At 38.3% G+C, this 19,703-nt stretch overlaps 2 protein-coding genes across 3 annotated transcripts in view, besides 3 other annotated features; one reads left to right on the top strand and one right to left on the bottom strand.

Moving 5' to 3' along the window:
• WDR3 (WD repeat domain 3) overlaps nt 1-11,504 on the bottom strand; it is a 36,805-nt gene extending 25,301 nt beyond the window's left edge. Inside the window, exons 1-8 of the mRNA NM_006784.3 lie at nt 11,461-11,504; nt 7,753-7,955; nt 6,561-6,770; nt 4,356-4,474; nt 2,685-2,763; nt 1,671-1,766; nt 303-416; nt 18-119 (exon numbers count right to left, since the gene is read on the bottom strand). Coding sequence (NP_006775.1) covers nt 18-119; nt 303-416; nt 1,671-1,766; nt 2,685-2,763; nt 4,356-4,474; nt 6,561-6,770; nt 7,753-7,923 — 891 coding nt within the window. The 5' untranslated portion in view covers nt 7,924-7,955; nt 11,461-11,504. The remainder of the gene's footprint in view (nt 1-17; nt 120-302; nt 417-1,670; nt 1,767-2,684; nt 2,764-4,355; nt 4,475-6,560; nt 6,771-7,752; nt 7,956-11,460) is intronic.
• Nucleotides 11,352-11,521: an enhancer, noted in NCBI's record as "active region_1589". NCBI's record gives its function as "activates an Ori minimal core promoter by ATAC-STARR-seq in GM12878 lymphoblastoid cells {active_cell/tissue: GM12878}" and the evidence as "EXISTENCE:reporter gene assay evidence [ECO:0000049][PMID:35858748]".
• Nucleotides 11,352-11,697: a biological region, named in NCBI's record as "Sharpr-MPRA regulatory region 13757".
• Nucleotides 11,403-11,697: an enhancer, noted in NCBI's record as "tiled region #13757; HepG2 Activating DNase unmatched - State 1:Tss, and K562 Activating DNase unmatched - State 1:Tss". NCBI's record gives its function as "activates a minimal TATA promoter and a strong SV40 promoter by Sharpr-MPRA in HepG2 and K562 cells {active_cell/tissue: HepG2 | K562}" and the evidence as "EXISTENCE:reporter gene assay evidence [ECO:0000049][PMID:27701403]".
• The window catches only part of GDAP2 (ganglioside induced differentiation associated protein 2), a 66,137-nt gene continuing 58,055 nt past the window's right edge, over nt 11,622-19,703 (top strand). For both annotated transcript variants that reach the window (NM_017686.4, NM_001135589.3), the window contains exon 1: nt 11,622-11,795. The gene's annotated coding sequence lies outside the window, so the exon portion shown is untranslated. The remainder of the gene's footprint in view (nt 11,796-19,703) is intronic.

The raw sequence follows: 19,703 nt of genomic DNA, 5'->3' as shown, positions 1-19,703 counted from the left end.
CTAAGTATGGTACTCACATGGCAAGCAAGAATCCTGCCTGTCTTGTCGACTGCAAGGTTTACAACTCTGTCTCTTCCTTCCCGCATTATGGAACCAGCTTTTCTGCATGAAAGGATTCGCTACAGAAGAAGCAAGAGCAGATGAAGGTTAGATGTAAGTTCTGCTGAACTTCTGAAAAAAACATAATTCTAATAAGTGCAAGTGACAAAAATATTCCCTAAAGTGATGATTCCCTAAAAATCTGCAATTCTTACTTTCCCATTATTCAACACAATTAAACTTAAGAAATGAAAATGAATTACATCCTCAGGGGCTTCATCCGTCTCAAAGGCACCATCCTCTGCCTCAAGAGTATCTTGTATTCCAGGAGAAGATCCTTTGATTTTCTTGGGGTCTGGTTCTTCCGGGTCTTCAATCTGTTTTATAAAAATGAGAAAATAAAAGCTGAAATAGTATGTTCCAGGAGGCATGTTGTTGTTGTTGTTGTTGTTTTGTTGTTGTTGTTGTTGTTGTCGGAGACAGAGTCTTACTCTGTCGCCCAGGCTGGAGTGCAATGGCATGATCACATCTCACTGCAGCCTTGATCTCCTGGGCTCAAGCCATCCTCCCACCTCAGCCTCCCAAATAGCTGAAACCACAGGCACACACCACTGTGCTTGACTAATTTTTAAATTTTTTGTAGAGACAGGTTCTTGCCATATTGCCCAGGCTGGCCTCAAACGTGTGTGTGGACTCAAGTGATCTTCCTATCTCAGCCTCCCAAAGTACTGGGATTATAGGCATGAACCACTGTGCCTGGCCCAGGAGGTAACTCTTAATCCTGAAGACTTAGAAATCTTTCTTATGGCCAATAACAGCTTCTAATCAGTGATCTCCCTTATCAAACCTCTTCAGTAGCAAGGCAGGTATCAGAACTTATTAAAAACTGACTACATAATATACAAACAAAATATTACTTATTATACTATCTCCAAAAACTTTCTATAGCATAAGGACTACTGTTTAGTGACAATGGTGAAAAAATAATGACCCCACTCTTCACTAACTTCAAAATTTTCTGTATTTAGGTGAAAGGTTGACCATATTATAGAACAAAAAATTCAAATTGGCATTAGGAATTGCAAAAGCATCGCAAGACAGGTAGATACATTTTCTCCTTAAATAAAGAAAAGATAACCCCTAGCCTACTAATGTAACTCCCATCGAAATGGCTGCTGGACCCAGCACACACCGAAATTCAGCTAAACCTAAGGTCTGCAAGCTTTTCTTCTATGTAAATTCTTTGAATGTCTAAGAAAAAGTTATAGATCTTTTCAGAATATACATATTTATAAACATAAAATTCTACATATATATTTGAGGGGAAAGGTTCACAGATATTCTGAAGGCCATCCATGGACACCCAAAGGTCCAAGAATATCTGATTAAGAGTGCCACAAACTAAAACATTAGTATTACCAGAAGCTGTAAGCCTAAAGCTAACCTGAGCTCAAATAAATAAGGATAATGAGCATATAAGGAAGAAAAGCTTTTTTAAGTGTTGCAGGTTATTGGTGTGATAGAATTCCTTCTAATATGATGTGAAGTACTGAATAATTACATCTGATTCTAAATCCAAGGTGCTTATGAAACTTCTAAACATATTGCCCATGATTTTAAGAAGTAATTACCTCTTGCAGATAAGCTATGTCCCATACCCTCAGTTCACTGTCTGAGGCCCCAGTGATGAGTCGCTTTTCTTCTGACAACAGAACCAACCCCCATACCTATAGAATATAAAAAGATTTGAGTAATACGATTTTCAAGAGATTCCAGGTAGCATAATATGACATTCCAAAAGTCTGTTACACCGTAGTAAAATGTCTAGCAATTTAAAGGCAAAGAAAAGGCATATCGACAACCCTTTCAAAATGCACTAAGAGAAGTCTCACTTTTACAGAGAAAAAAATGGCCTGCGGTGAAATTGTTACTTTTGTGATACTAGCAGTTTGTCTCTAACCTCGTATAATCAAATTAAGATAATGGCTGTTCAGCATAAATCTTAACTAGAATCCACTCAAATGATGATTTTAAGTCTTCTATTTCTTTGCTTTTAGCAGTGTCTAGCAAATAAAAGGTGCCCCACTAATGTCCATTGCATAACTTTCAGCTTCAAGTATCCGGGAATTAAATAATGAAAATAATATTGTTGCAAATCAACAAAGAATTTAATCTTCTTGTCATTAATTCTAGGTATTACCTTCCTGAATGCCTGATATGAATAAAGCACTGAGGATGCAAAGATATATAAAAAACAGTCCCTGAACTCAACTGAATAGATCTCTGTTCAAGTAACTATTTTAACAGCTACCACGTGCTGCTTACCTGTCAATAAGCTAGGTGCTGCACATATAATATCATTAAACTTCCCTACATTCATAAAAGTGGACACTTATTATTTAGAAATGATGAAACTCAGGAATTAAAAACCACGCAAGGCCAATTTTTACTACATGTCAGAGCAGCAGTATCTGCTCCAATGGCTGGCATTGCTTCCATCATACCAGCCTCACTGTCCCTCAAGATGGCATATGATAATTACTGTGTGCACTAAAAACAAAGAGCCATGAAAGGGGAAGAGAAGACCACCACCTTTTCCCTTTTGCCTTCCCATTATTTCCCTGGGCCCATGACCCTACACTTACCTCAGTCCGGTGGCCAACCATTGTTTTAAAGCAGTGCTGAGTATCAAGGTCCCACCATTTCACCATGGTATCTTTCCCACTAAAAGAAGAAACAGGAAAAAAATATATAGCCTGTTTAGGAAAACTCATTCAACGAATAGGGAGATCCAAAACTCACTGTTGCTTTAAAAGGAACATATGCTTCAATAATGTCTAAAGCTCCGATTCTCTCTGATCTTACTTTTGAAAAGCAAAGAATCCTAACTTTCCTTGTAGTTATTCCTGTGCAGAAAATAAAATGTTCCACCTATAAGCACAAGAATGACTTTAGATGCAGAGTACCAAAGAATACAGAATTTGATCCATCAGGCCTTCCTCCTATCATTTCCATCATCACAGCACTGGCATTCCCCTCAGACAGTCTACCATGGAAACATCTTAGACCGCTCCCACTCCCTTGTCTTCCTGTCCAGTTAGTCTCTTGTCCTGAAAATGCCTCCTCTGTGAAGTTTCTAAGTATTAACTCCTCTAGTCCATTTCTGTACACTAACCTGAACTTAAGTCCTACTACCTGGATTATTTTAACAGCTTCTCATTTGGTCTCTTTGTCCATTGCTGTTCTCTCATCCCATCCAATGTGCAACTGTCAGATAACCTTAATTTTTAATATTTGCACTAGCTCAATGTTCCCTGTAGAATCAAAGTCAGGCTCATTGGCAGCAGTCTCAAAATTTCCTATTTATTTGTTCTTAACCCCCTAAATATAACCTCTCGCAGCCAATGGCCTCTACTACTCCTGCTCAAACACCTCTTCCCTACCTCCTCACTACATAAATCTAATATAATCCTCCTTCATGAGCAAACTGGAAAAAAACACCGCTCAAAAACCTGATTTACAAAGTCCGTCCCATATAACCCCACCTTACAGTGTTATTTCTTTGCCTTTATATTCCCTAAGCTGTAATATATATTTTTTCTATTAGAACTATAGAATCATTCTCTTACAGAACCTGTGTTATCTGAACAAGACACTAATTTACCTGTATCCTATCCCACAGAAACAAATCCACCATTGGTAAAGCATTTAGTGCTCACAGCTTTTTCTGAGTCATTACTATGGTTCCTCTAATTAATGCCTGGCAAACCTTGGTATCCCAGCTTTTCCTAGGTGGCCATTCTTTAGGAATATTCATTATTATATTAGGTTGAACAATATAAAATTGTTGATATTTGATGATTTTTTATGTACACAAATAAAAATTTCAAATGGTTCATCCTAATAGGTGTTCAGAAGGCCTATGAAGTACAGTACATCTCTCCTCAAAAGGCAAGCCGAATTTAACACCTGGTATTCATATCTTCCCTCTGCTCCATATTCTGATTCCTGGCTTTCTAGAGATCTAGAAGGTAGACAAAGCTCATTCTATAATGAGTTTCAAAAGGCTAAGAAACACAGAAAAACTGATATCAAGAAAAAAGAATGACAAATTAGAAAAATGATTTTAAAAATAATATAGCTTTGGATAGCTCTACGATACTACTTAGAAGAAATGGAAAGAAGGAATGCAGGAGAACAGGAGAGAAAACTAATGCATAAGCATGAGCACACTGCTCATGAGAGAAATGAGTAAGGAATAAAGCAAATTCTCTCTTCCTAGAAAATAACTGGAAATTAAACCATTATTTCTTTACCTAGTAACTAGCAGGTTCTTTTCTCGTAGAAACAATGCTTGTGTGATGGCATCCTTGTGCCCCTTTAGACGGTACAGACCACTTTCATTGATCACATCCCATACAATAATATCTGTGTCCTAAAGGGATCAAATAATACAGATGAAAAATAATTTTCTTTACCATATATGGCCCAACTTGACAAACAATGAGACTTAATTATTAAAAAGGCAATACACAGTCCTTACAGAAAATTTGGAAAGCATGGGGAAAGTACAGGGGAATAAACACCAGCCTTATTCTCACCAACCAGAAATAATCCCCAGACATTGTTATTGCTCTAGTCTTTATGTATAATCCAGGTTATTTTCCTATTAGAAGACTAAAATCATGCCATTCATATCATTTTACAACCTTTTCTTTATTCATTTAATATTATTTCCATTTCTTCCATGTTATTCCAGAGTGTTCACATTTTTAATGCTCACATAATAATCAATTCTAAAGTAATAGCACAACTTATTTAAAAATTTTTCTGTTTCAGACATTTAGTTTCCAACCTTCTGCTGTTATAAATATGCAGAAGTGAACATTCTTATATACAAATTTCTGTATGTATCTCTGATTAGAAAAAACTAAAATGAAAAGCTCTTGGGTTATATGATATGTTTATTTTTAAAGTTTTGGATTCATACTATCAAAATGATCTCCAGGTTGGGTAAATCTATAGAACCAGCAGGGATATGTATGACAAGGCCTGTTCCCCATTCATTTAACTCTATTATTAGTTTTCTCAAAAACTACTACAAATATCATAAGTAAAAAATGTTCAGTCTTAATATTTATTTTAATTTACATTTTTTATGAATACAAATGAGAAATATTTTACATGCTTTATGGTGATTATTGGCCATAAAGTATCTCTTTTGAATTGCCAATTCATGACTTTCTTTTGTCTATCATTCTTAGAGTGTCATCTCTTATTTGACTGTAAGTTATTAATAGATGAATGATACTAATCCTTTCTTTTTATATTGAAAATATTAAATATTTTAACTTTTTCAGTGTCCTCTGACTTGTTTTTAATGTACAAATGTTTCAAGTATTCCAATCTACCAACAGTTTCCTTTTTTAATTTATTTCTTTGCTAATAAAGTCCTTTTCTACCTTGCTATCGGATATTTACTTACATATTTTCTAGTTTACTTTAAAATGCTATTTTTTAATAGTTAAGTCTTTAATCTTTGTTTCATTTTGGTATATAGCATGAGGTAAAGCTTTAATTTAAAAATTTCGCTCAAATAGCCAATTGTCTAAGGACTGTTTTATAAGTAATCTATCATTTTTCTACTTATTAAAATGTCGTCTTTAAAATATACTAATTAGGAATGTAATCATGGATGTGTTTCTGAGATTTCCATTTGGTTGCAATAATCTATTTTGCATTGGTACTTGCATTGAAGTATCAATATGATACTTCTTAAATTATGGGTTTATATGACATTTTAATATCTAAAACCCCTGTTTTATTATTCTTTTCTTCCCAAATTTTAGTGTTTCCAATTCCTTTGCTTTTCCATATTAGGTCAAGTTCTAAGTAACAACTAAAACCTTTAAGATATCTATTTAAATATATCTGTATCTATATAAACATATGTCTAAACATAGCTTTAGCTATATAAATCAATTAGAAAACACTACCATCTTTTCAATACCTTGTCTTCCCATTCAAGAACATGGATTATATCTCTATAAAAGTCTTCTATTCCATTCTTCAGTAAAGTTTCATGGTATTTTTATGTCTGTTACTTAATCTGTTGTGAATGGAATCTTTTATATTTTCTAACTCATGACTTGTGAGATACAGGAAATTCTACTGACTTTACAGAAGTCAATGGCAAATAATTATTTTGTCTCTTCTTTTCCAGTCTTTGTTTTCTTTCCTTATTTTACTGTTTTGCGTAGCACTTCCACAATAAGAGTTATCATGGCTCTCTTCATCTTATTCCTACACTTAAGAGGCTTTTATCAGAAAATATGACAAAATGAACAAAAGGAAACAAAATGAACCACCCAATTCACACCCATCCTCTTCACTCTATCATTATACTACTTTGTATATTGACAGCCCATTGTTTTACCTGACAATTTTTGTCAACAACTTGCTTCAGCATAAGCCTTACATTCCTTTAATAGATCAAAGCCTGGGCTGATTCAAAGGCTCACCTTGGACCCAGATGCCAGTCTGCCTCCTAGCTGATCATACTTCAAGGTAGTGATAGCTGCTTTGTGACCATTGAAGGTCACATTTCCTTCCCCACTCAGGAGACTGAAGATTCGGATCGACCCATCCTCATACCCAACAGCTAAGTGTAGCCCATCTGGGGAGGGGCATAAGCAAGTAACTTCTTGTTTAAGCCCCTGAAGGATAAGAATCTGAAATCATAAAAATTAAAAACAATGTAGAAGAGTTAAGCATGAACTCAAGGGAAAAGCATAGGAATACTCAGGCACAGTAAAATTAAGAGCACCAATAATTCCAAATTACTCTTATGAATAAAAATGAAACTCCACAATCCATTTCAAGTTTTTTAATATAGAAATTAGTATTTGTACTAGGCAATGAAACATTTAAGAAAAGGCTTAATTATTTTCTCCAAAGCCCTACGTTGTTGTAATACATATAAAAACTCCCTAGGCAATAAAATAAATTTAATCCCTTTAATCTAATTCTTAACCCTAGAACAACACTACGTGATTTTCAATAAAGGTTTATAAATTCCTTTAACTGAGACCCATTTTATAAGAAAATAATCTGTGTGGCAACAGAGTACTGCAGTGGTTTTAACCACAAAGGACTCTTGGTGGCAACAAGAATCAAAGTACTAACCTCTTGGGAATCACAAAATGAATGGACAATATCAAAATGCCTATATTTGGTTTGGCAAAAGTGGTAGGCTTAGGGAATTCAGTCACACAAAGTATCAAAGTCTACTTTAACAACACTTGGGCATTATCCATATTAGAAAAAGATTCTGCCAAAATAGACTAACCTTCCTTTTACATGCCTAATATTTTATAACCAGCTATAAGCATAAGTCGAGCTTGAAAAATAGAATTGGTAGAGAAAAAATACATCAGGAATAAATAATTACTGCAAATAATGACCTGTAAATATTCCAACAAATAGACATCTAAGAAATAAGCTCCTATTTCATTGTGGTTTTCAGAATTCAGTGGCGAAGAACACAAAGGAACTTGATGCTTGGCTAGCTAGACCTAAAGGAAAAAGATTTTTCTTCTAAGGGCACAGACACAAAAAAACTCATGATAAATAAATCAGAGCCCCCCCACTTCTACTACCTCTCCATCCTCAAATACCAATAAATCAGTATCAAACTGGTCATTTTAGGCTCACCTTCTCTCCTTTCCTTAAGTCCCAGATGAAAACGTGTTCACAAGCTGGTACTGCCACATAACGTCCTTTCTCACCACGAAGTGTCACAAAGACAATATTACCTTTTTGGCTGCCGATAACGCCAAAGACCGCACTAGCAACATAGCGTAGGTACTGCTTGGTGAGCCCCATGTTGTGATGTCTGATACCACAGGTGAAGCAATCTGTGCATATAAACAAAGAAAACTCAGCTCCTTGGGTGCCTTGGTTCTACTAGGTTAGTAAACACCAACTGTTTTTTTGTTTTTGAGACAGAGTCTCACTCTGTTGCCCAGGCTGGAGTGCAGTGGTGGGATCCTGGCTCACAGCTGACTCCACCTCCTAGGTTCAAGCGATTCTCCTGCCTCAGCCTCCCGAGTAGCTGGGACTACAGGCATGTGCCACCATACCCGGCTAATTTTTTTTTTTTTTTTTTTTTTAGTAGAGATGGGGTTTCACCATATTGGCCAGGCTCGTCTCGAAAGCCTCACCTCAAGTGATCCATCCGCCACGGCCTCCCAAAGTGCTGGGATTACAGGTGTTAGCCACTGCGCCAGAACAACACCAACTGTTGATCATGTCATTAAAAGCATGTAACTTGTGACTTCTTAATCTTTATTTACTCTAAATGAATCATTGACCTAAAATACCTGGACATCATTTTTTATTCAGTGTTGACTCAATATAATCCCTCATTCCTCAAGTTCCAAATTAGTCACGTTGTCATGCCCACCTCATGCATATCTGACATTATAGGCTCAATGCAGCTAAACTGATTTACTTCTGCCCATTAAACCAGCATCAAAGCTTTTACACAGAGATTGGCAGTCTGAGACTGAACATATTTTTCAATGAATATCTATTGAAAACCTACCAATTAGACAGGCACCATTCTAGACACTGGAAATACACTATTAACAAGGCAAAATCCCTAACCTCATGGTACTTACCTTCTTGTACAGTGGTTCTCTAACTCTAGTATACATCCAAATCACCTGGAGGGCTTATGAAAACATTGCTAGAAAACACCATCTCATCTCTTCTCCCAGCACCTGTTTCTGATTTCATAAGTCTGAGGTAGGGCCTAGAATTTTTCATTTCTAACAAGTTTCCAAGTGATGCTGCTATTGCAGTTCTTGGACCACACTTTGAGAACTACTAGTACATGAAAGTCTGTCCTTCATTTCAAAATCAGAGCAGCCACTTACCCTTGGCATAGAAAATGGTTGAGCAACTTGGCACACTATTTTTGGAAAGATGCCATAATTTCTGCACTTTTATTAAATTCACTGAAAATCCATAATCCACTGGTTATTTATAAAAGGGACAAGAGGTGAATGAAGGAGATAACAAATCAGTCCCATCTGTTCTTTACATGGAAGAGTAAAAAGTATCCCCAAAAAACACCCATGCAACTTAAAACACACAAAAATAAAGAAGTTACAGTCTTTTATGAGGAGCTGTTTCTTTTTGCTATTGTTTTTTGTTTCTTTGGTTGGTTGGCTTAACTCTACAGGGTCTTTCTAATTATCAAATGCTGTTTTAGTCTAACACAAAAAAAATTCAATCTCAACTCTCTGATAATATTTTCTGGTAATAATCACTTACTGGCCTCATTGCTTCTCTCACAGGAACCAACATAAAGCCAATTTAAAATCAAGGAAAGATAATATTAACATGGTGATAATGCTCTTAGCCTAGGCCATTTGATTAATTCTTTCCCAATTCCTCTTATTCCTCCAGACTCTGTAGTTGTTCCTTATGTTTGTCTGTCTTTGGCCATCTACCACCTCCTTCTACAGTGTTTTCCTTGGAGAATTCATATAGCATGCCTAGGTCCAGGGACTCCCATCTGTCTATTTCCAGTCCTTTCCACCTACATGAATACTAATTATAGAGTTTCCAATATTTACTGAACATCTCCACTTGAATACCTTATAGTTTCACATTTAACATGTCTATAACCAAGCCTACCTTACTTCTGGTACCCCTCTCTTTTCTTCTGACACTAAGACACAATTTTCCCAGCTCTTCAGGCTCAAAACCATTTAATAACCTTTGAATTATTAATAAAAAAATATTATTATAGCAGCCAAGATTTAGAGAGTGCTTACGCTATAGTAACTGATAACATTATGCAATTGTTTAATTACATACAGCAATTAATGAAACCGAGCTAACATATGCAAAGCACTTAGAAAAGCCTCTAGCACATTGTAAATATGAGCATAAAAAAATTATCCATAAGGACCTGGTATGGTGGCTCATGCCTGTAATGCCAGCACTTTGGGAGGCCAAGGCCTAGGAGTCAAGAGTTTCAGACCAACATAGGCAACACAGCAAGAACCTATCTCTACAAAACATTTTTTAAAAAATTAACCAGGCATGGTGACGCACTCGGGGAGGCTGAGGCAGAAAGATCACTTGAGTCCAGAAGTTCGAGGTTGCAGTGAGCTATGATCACGCCACTGCACTCCAGCCTGGGTGACAGTGAGACTCTGTCTCTAAAAATAAATAAACAAATTCTCCACAATAACACCACAAGGGAAGTCACTCTTCCTATCTCTATTTTACAGACAAGGAACTCAGACCCAGAGATGGCAAATTGCTAACTCAAAGTCATTTAGCAGCTAATTGCCAAAGCCAGATCCCAATCCAGCCAGTCTAACTCCAAAATTTCTGCTTTTAACCACTATGCTAAACTGCTTCTCTTTGCCTCTTTCTCTTTAGTCAATTCCACCTGACTGTTACTCTGAAACAGGATCCCTTTCTCTCCAGCACTTTCAGTTCCAGCTCTTTATCACTGGATTACTGCACTGATTTTCCACCTAGCACCTCCGCCTCCATGTTTTTCACTCTTTTCATTTAAACGTCATAATACTACCGACTAATCTTTTCAAATGAGCTTTCCCTATCCTAAAGCCTTGAAAAGGCTAAATCGTTTGCCAGTTTCCAAAAACTCATCCTATCTAACCCCCGTATTTCTCGAATAAACCTTCCTGTCAGGCTGGCTAGTTTCCTTCCTCGTCCCGCGACCTTGTATTCTTCATATTATTCGTTTTACTTAGAATAACATCCATGTTCTCCTCTACTTCTTTTAACTAATATTATCTTCTGAGGCCCACTTCCTTTCGAGTAAGCCCAATTCTAGCAGCCTTTTTTCATCGCCTCGATATTTAAACTACCTCCCATACAACTTGCACTGTTCACTTTGTTCCACGTGCACAGCTTTCGCCTCCTTTCTGACAGTTCACGACCAAACCTTCTTCCGAGACCCCATGATCTCCGCTTCCTAACCTACAGCCCCCAAAACGATGTTTCCAAGATGCACTGAAGGCCTGGACCGTGGCAACAGACCTGCCACACATTCCTAAACGAGTCTTCGGTCAGGGGAGGGTGACGGAGGGTTCCACACACCGAACACACGGTCATATCATCCTCAGGCCAGCCCGTGCACACGCACGGTCAGGCAGCTCTGCTCAGCACCCGCAACCGCGCCGAGTAGCTGAGGGGCTTCCAAGTACTGCTGTGGGGACGCCCGTAGTTACCTGAGTTCCCCCAGCCCTAGCAACCGGCCTTTAACACGCCCGTCTCGGCTGCTGCTGACATCACGAACGCCTCAGCCAGAATCTGCAAAATCGGAGCCGCAGATAATGCTCTCCGCCCCAACCACGCACCTCCAGGACTCACCTCAGCCTCCACGAGGCTCCCAGCCGATTGGACCCGCCCACAAGACCTGCCCCTTCCGGGTCCGTTCCGGAAGCCTCTTCCGCCAGAGGTTCCCTTTGCCTTCTAGGAGGAAATGACGGAGAAAGCCGGGCGCTGATTGGTGAGCTCTGGCCAGGAGCGGAAGCCGGTGTTTCGCAGCCCAGAGCATTTGCAGCTGGTCACTCCAGTCTCCTGGGACTTTGACTCGCCGTACTCGGCGCGCTCCTGCTGAGGGTCGCCGGAGATGTCGCTCGGCCGCCTTCTACCAGGAGCCTGATCCGTGCCGCCCGCCGCCCGGATGGGACCACCAGAGTGCTGTGAGAGGAGGGACTGAGGCCGGGAGGGAAGGCGGGGCGGAGAGGGCCGGGGGCGCGGTCCGAGGCGCTCGGGACTCGGCCCTGGTCAGGATTGCAGGCTGAGGGTTAGTTCTGTCACTTCTCTTGAAGAACGAGCCTGGCGCCACTTCCTCGCATGTTGGTTAGGTTCTTTCCCGAGGCGTTGTCGGGGACGCCGTCTCTACGAGAAGTGAAAGGGTGGGCAGTCGGCGGGCACTAGGAACAGTGGTGCTGTAGCCAAGGAGGCGGGCGCCCTAGGGTGCAGGTGAAATGGGGCAGGCGGGAGCTCTTGCTGGTTGTAGTCCCAAAGACAAGTCCGTGTTGCCGTTCCTGTGGACTGGACATTCTACGGAACCGAGAGCACCTCGGGTGAGGGGTGGGTAGACGCTGAGCCCAGGATGGTGCGTTGTCTAGGTTCCCGCAATCCCTGGAGTGACACTGGCCTGGCTTTGTGTTTCCGCTCTCTGGCCGCTTGAGGGGGAAGTGACCAAGGCTGACTCCTCCTTGTTTGCTCACTGAGACTTAAGTGCTCTTTCACCAAGTGGGAATTAGCTTTTCTCTCTTGCATTTCTGCTACTTTTATTCTTGAGCTGCATAGAAGTGTTTAGAAATGAGTTCTGATGTCTAGAGCTGTGCAAAATTAAAGCTAACATAGCTGTACAAAAGAAGATCCTGCCGGCGCTTCTTGAACAAGGTATCTGCAGCCAGCCTAGAAATTAGACTTTTGTCTACATTATCTGATTTTCTTTAGAGTTTCCTGAGCTTAATGCATGTTCAGCTAATCTTCCATATTCAAGAAAATTGCAATAGCAAAGAATGCGTATGATGAGACTGTGGACAGCTGTAGCAGCATAGGAGTTTTGAAACAAGATTGCTGTGTATTGGATAAATGAGAAGGGAAGAAATTGTGGCCACAAACTATTATTTTAATAAGCTTGGTGGGAAAGGGAGCATTTGAGTGGGTATGTATGGTTAATATCCCTGACAGGTGCTGTGCATTATATTATTATGGGGAGAAGTGTGTGCTTCAATGGAAAACTACATAGTTTAGATTCTATCTTAACACCCCTTGGAATAACTAATTCTAAAAAAGCTATTTTTCAGTTACGTAAACTAGGTAAGTGACATCAATGCTAAATAATTATTGTCAAGACATGCGAATTCTCTCAGAGATTCAGTGGAAGTTTTGCCTCCTTTTGCACATTTATTTCAATATTCCTGCTCTAAGGTGTCTAATTCTGGGATTTTCTTTATCTTCTCTGCCTGGTTCCATTTTGAGTTAAATAAAATCTTGAACACGGGTTTGGTTTTATATTTGAATGAGTCATGATTTTACCTTTTCTTAAAAAACTATCTTAATATTATTAAATATTATGGGATGGGACAACCACAGATGGAAAAAAATGATTTTAATAAGAGTTGGTATCAGAGCAACTGTGAGTGGTAAGGTAATGCATCTTACAAAATTCCTTATACAATGTTTCAAGGATGTAACTCTACTTCCTTATTTAAGTTTCAAAATGCCTAATATATCAATATTTACAATTAAAACATAGTGCAGTTCATTTAATATGAAGGGGTACTACTAATTTACTGTTAGGATATGTTCTTTGGGTGCTTTTGAATTATGATGTTAAATTTGACCCAAGCCATTGACAAGCTTAGGAATGTTCTTGTTATACTGTATTTATTGTTGACATATTTGACTACTTCAGTTAGTCTTCCAATCTGAAAATCTTTTTTAAAAAATGTCTTTCTGATGGCATAAAATGATTCTTAAGTATGGTGTTGGATGGTGGCATAAAATGATTCTTAAGTATGGTATGCACACATATCCTCATGTACTCTGAACTGTTAAATATTGAAATACAAAGTCATAAAGAATGGTAAACCCGGTAATTAATGGCGGTCAAGTGCATGCACCAGCTCTCTTTGTACTGTTGTTATCCAGGCTGGTCTGATCAATGTAAGCATTTTGAAAGACAGGTAAACAGGTTAAAAGTTACCATTTTTCTCTCTTAAATGATATCATTTTCTTTCTATCCAGAAAAAAAGTTTTTTTTGAGATGGTGATCCAAGGTATTATGCCCAATTTTGCCCAGTTTTGAACAATAAAATCTGATCTCTCTAGCCAATCCAATTATTCATATTAAGCAGTATTTAAAGGACTTCTTAAACTAAAAGATGACAGGATTTGAGGAAAAAAAAAACAAGTTACAGTGTAATGAGAGCTGTTTACACTGCACCATTTGAATTATAAAAGATACATAGTGGGTTATCTTTGTCTTTAGGTCCTCTTCACTAAAGTACTGAAGATCATATGGATATGGAAATAGATTTGATTCATTATGGAATCTTCTGTTTGTCCCATGTAGACTTTTTGATCCTTGGAAATTAATGTCTTGCTTCAAGAGCCTTTTTTTTTTTAACTAGGGCTTAGTGTTTGTTTATGAACTTATTAAAAGTACAGAGCTGATCAACTGATTTTCAGTGGACAGTCTTGCTCTCCTTTAATGTTAGCAAAAATTCTGGCTGTGGCTATAGATTACTGGGTGTAGGAGCCTTCTCCTCCTCCCTTTGTCACTTAAGCAATCTGTTTGCATTCTATCACTGAGATTCTAATTCAAATTTATTTACAAATCTACTTGTATGAGCTCATATACAAATATTCTGGGGAGTGAAAGGATCTGTATCTTTCATGTGATTCTCAAAGGGGCCTGTGACCTTGAGAATGTTAAAAACCACTGTTCTCTCAGGGATCAGGTTTTTCTGCCTAGCTTGGGTTTGTGGCTCCATTTACTGTATGTATTACTAAGGTGTATATGTGTTTAGGGGAAGGAGAGATTCAAACCTCTTTTTGGTGAGAAACATCAATTCTGTTTAGAGATGGAGTTGAAAAAGAATTCAACCTCTGTTAAATACTGTGACACTTCATAAAATGCCATTAAATTTTGTCCTACAATAAGAGCTATGAGCATTACTTTTACTTATTTAACATCCAATATCTTGTGGGTCACAATTACTTAAAAGCTAGGAAAAGGATCCAACAAACTCTACTGACCAGGTATGATCAGGGATATAGGAGAACCACCAGGGTATAATGTCAAAGAAGATAATAGAGTTTTGAGGAGGAAATGATCAGTAATAAATGTGGATAAAATTGGATTAATTCTTGGATTTGACATTTGGGAAGTTATTGTTGAATAGAGTAGTTTTCGTATAGCTGTAGAGCGGAAGCAAAACTGCAGTAGGTTGGGCAAATGTACGAAGAGGAAGTAGAGCTACAAAACAAATTACTCTTAAAAAGTCAAGTGGTAAAAAGGAGTTTAGTATTCTGAAGAAGAAATGAAGTAGAAGAAATAAAGGAGGAAAACCTTTTTGAGAACAGGAGGATTGAGAGGAAGGAAAAAGCCAAGATGTAATTGTAAAAGGAGAATTTATGTTGTAACACTCTCTTAAGAGGAGAAATGGTCAAATGAAGGAAATTGATTAAATTAAAGTGATTTGGTGGGCTTAAACGTGTGGAATATACCCTCAAATCGTCACTTGGAAGTTGGAAACAGTGAATGATTTTGAGTTGGAGGGAAGTTAAGGTAATTGTTCTCCTATGCAGTTTTGACACCAGTTATCTCATTGAATGCTCACAATAATCTTAGGAGAATTACCCTTATTTTAGAAATTAAAAAACTGGTTCAGAGTCAAAGATAACAAAACTATTAGATGATGGTCCTGGATCCAAACTCAGACCCTATGATAACAGAGTCCAAATTCTCACATCGAACCATACTGTCTCTGCCTCACTGTGTAATTGTGTGTGGAAATATTTACCTTAAAATACTAAAGAAACTGGATTCAAAATTGTACCAGTATGATTTTACCTATCACAGAAAAAGGTAGTAACTACATCAAAAGTTGAGGAATTTTTTCCTCCCCCTTAATTTTGGTTTCTTTTCCTTCTTTTTGTTTTGTTTCTTTTTTGAGATAGGGTTTTGCTCTGTCACCGTGCTGGAGTGCAGTGGTGTGATCTCAGCTCACTGCAATCTCTGCCTCCTGGGCTCAAGCAATCCTCCTACCTCAGCCACCTGAGTAGCTGGGACTACAGATGCATGCCACCACACCTGGCTAGTTTTTTGTATTCTTGTAGAAATGGGGTCTCACTATGTTGCCCAAGCTGGTCTTGAACTCCTGGGCTCAAGTGATCTCCCCGCCTCAGCCTCCCAAACTGCTGGGATTACAGGTGTGAGCCACTGCGTCCAACCGATTTGGTATTTTTCAAATGTTCTGTAAGCATGTATTACTTAGAGTCAGAAAGAAAAGTTATCTTAAAAAAGCAATTTTGTCCTGAAAGTTGGCATTCAAGTTTACAAACTGAAAACTGTGTTTGTGTTTAATGGATTTGTTTTTAGATTATAGCTAAGAGCTTTTTTATGACAATGACTCATTGTCATAAAAAATCTGCAGGTAATTTTTTGAAATTATGAACTTTTGTCAAGCGTCATTCCATTGAGCATGAGGCAATTTAACCATGATAGAAGAGTATATAGTCTTCATTTGTCCTCTGTTCAGCTTGTCTATTTCAAGTCTGAATACTTATGAACAGATCAACAAAACTTGTGGAAAGACCAATTTGATGGACTAAACACCAACTTTTAGGTAAAATTAATTTCTTTATTTCAAAGTAATTTCAAAGGTGTATTTAGTGTCAAATAAGAATAGTCTTCTCATACAAATTTATCATTGTTTAACCTACAAGGCCTTTCTGAAATTGTTATATAAATGATCACATTTCCTGTTCCGCAGTGTTGATTTAGGAATTAGCATATTTCACTAGATCCATGTTTTGTTCCAATTAGCATCCCATGTCTCTCAGCAGGAAACATCACGGAATGTATTGTGGAAGGGCATGCTTGTTTTGTTTGACAACAAACGTGAAAACCATACTGAAAAACTTCTCAAAAAACTTCATGAGATCATGTCCTTTGCAGCAACATAGATGGAGCTGGAGGCCATTATCCTAAGCAAACTAATGCAGGAACAGAAAACCACCTACCTATGGTCTCACTTATAAGTGGGAGCTACACAATGAGAACACGTGGACACAAAGAAGGGAACAACAGACACTAGGACCTACTTGAGGGTGAAAGGTGGGAAGAGGGAAAGGATCAAAAAACTACCCATCAGGTACTATGCTTATTACTGGGGAGATGCAATAATCTGTACACCAGACCCCTGTGACATGCAATTTACCTACATAACTAACCTGCACATGTACCTCTGAACCTAAAAGTTAAAAAAGAGAAAGAACTAAGAGAAAAGAAGAGAGACTCGAAATTATGTGCCTCCTGATGAAAGATACACCATCTCATATAATCTTGCCAGAACTGACTACTAACAAGAAATTTTCAAATAACAGAGAAACTTATTGAACTATGCATGAATATGCAAGCAACAATATCCAGACTGTGGGACACTACAGTTTCAGCAGATAAATTTTACAGAAAAGGAAAGGTTGGATGGGGGACTTGTAGATTAAAAGAGATTTAAGATATACATTAAAATGTCTTAAATGGCTAATATTAAACTATGGTTTCTAGGGATGCACACTTAGGTGAAAAGGCTATATGAGTATATAAGAAAAAGATTAAAAGTTCTGATAGTAGTTACTTTGGGGGACAGGAAGGGGTTGAGATCATGACAGATCACATGGAGCTACTTCTGGGTGCCTGCACAGTTCTATCTCCTGACTTTGGTGGTGGTTCTAGGGGTGTTCCCTTCATAATAGCTCATTAAACTGCACATTTATTTGGGGGGGAGAAAGTTCACATGCCAACTTTCTTTCCCTGATCATCTGTCTGCCCTTATTTATTTCATGTTACCAACAACCTCCAACTTACCAAACCCATTAATCAGTTCTTAGTGTTGTGGGAAGTCAGGGACCCCAAATGGAGGGACTGGCTGAAGCCATGGCAGAAGAACATAAATTGTGAGGATTTCATGGACATTTATTAGTTTCCCAAATTAATACTTTTATAATTTCTTATGCCTGTCTTTACTGCAGTCTCTGAACATAAATTGTGAAGATTTCATGGACATTTATCACTTCCCCAATCAATACTCTTGTGATTTCCTATGCCTGTCTTTAATCTCTTAATCCTGTCATCTTCATAAGCTGAGGATGTATGTCACCTCAGGACCCTGTGATGATTGCGTTAACTGCACAAATTGTTTGTAGAGCATGTGTGTTTAAACAATATGAAATCTGGGCACCTTCAAAAAAGAACAGGATAACAGCGATGCAGGGAACAAGGGAGATAACCTTAAAGTGTGGCTGCCTGTGGGCAGGGCAGGACAGAGCCATATTTCTCTTATTACCAAAAACGGATAAGAGAAGTATCACTGAATTCTTTCCCCAGTAAGGAATATTAATAATTAACAGCCCTGGGAAAAGAATGCATTCCCAGGGGAGGCCTCTGAAATGTCCACCGTGGGAGTGTCTGCCTTATGCAGGTGTAGATAGGGATGAAACATGCCCTAGTCTCCTGCAACGCCCCCAGGCTTGCTAGGATTAGGAAATTCCAGCCTGGCGAATTCTAGTCAGACCGGTTCTCTGCTCTTGAACCCTGACAATGCGTGCACAGCGGGACATGGAAGTTCATTAGTGATTCTAGTTTCACCCTGACCTTCTGCCTTGTGATCTTTTGTTGCCCTTGAAGCATGTGATCTCTGTGACCCACACCCTATTCGTACAATCCCTCCCCTTTTGAAAATTGCTAATAAAAACTTGCTGGTTTTGTGGCTTGGGGGGCATCATGGAACCTGCCAACATGTGATGTCTCCCCTGGACACCCAGCTTTAAAATTTCTCTCTTTTGTACTCTTTCCCTTTATTTCTCAGACCGGCCAACACTTAGGGAAATAGAAAAGAACCTACATGAAATAATATTGAATTATCGGGGGCATGTTCCCTTGATATTAGTCCTGTTATTCAACCTTTCAGTATCATTTAACTGATACTTCTCAAGTATTGCTTGAAATGTTTTCTTCACTTGGCTTTTAGGCCACCATGCTTTCCTGGTTTACCTTCCTTTCTTAGCATTCCTTCTCTCTCTCACTTTCTGACTTGTCCTCTTTCCAGCCTCTAAGTTTTGTTGTAGGACTCAGTCCTTGGATCTGTTTTCTCTATTTGCATTTACTCTCTAGGCTATCTTGTCCAGTTTCCATAGCTTTAAATACCATCCATATGCTGAGAATTCCAAATTTATATCTTTAGCCGCATCTTCTGTGAGCTCTAGCCTCATATAACCAATTTGCATGTTTGACATAAACACTTGGTCATAGAATGAGCATCTCAAATGTAGCACACCCAAAAAGACATAAGAAAAAAAAACCATTGGTTATCACTCTACCCTACAACCTACTCCAGTTTTTCCCTTCTCGGTAAATAGCATAACATTTACTCAATTGTGTAAGCAAGTAATCCAGAAGTTATCTTTGGTTCTGCTCTTTCTCCCTACTGTCTATATTCTTAAGTCTTGTTGACACCACCTTCAAAATACATTCCAAATCTAACATTTCTCATCACTACCATCTCACCTAAATTATTGCAGTCATTTTCTATTGATCTCTGCATCTACTCTTGCCCCATCTCAGTTTCATTGTAGCTACAGTATTCTTTTCAAATATTATTTATATTTAATCATTACCATGATCAAGATCCTCTAATAGCATCCCTCATATTTAGAATAAGATCTAAACTTCTTACCATAGTTTACAAACAGTATCCTCTGGTTTTTCCCTCTCTTACCAACCTCATCACCTACCACTCATTACCTAGCTTATTCTGCTTTTCCTAAACTGGCCTCCTTGCTCCTCCTGTAATATACCAAGATCC

This window comes from Homo sapiens, chromosome 1, assembly GCF_000001405.40.
Source record: "Homo sapiens chromosome 1, GRCh38.p14 Primary Assembly".
Taxonomy (NCBI): Eukaryota; Metazoa; Chordata; class Mammalia; order Primates; family Hominidae; genus Homo; species Homo sapiens.
Note: the sequence above shows the minus strand (reverse complement) of the source record. Positions and strands in the feature narration are given on the sequence as shown.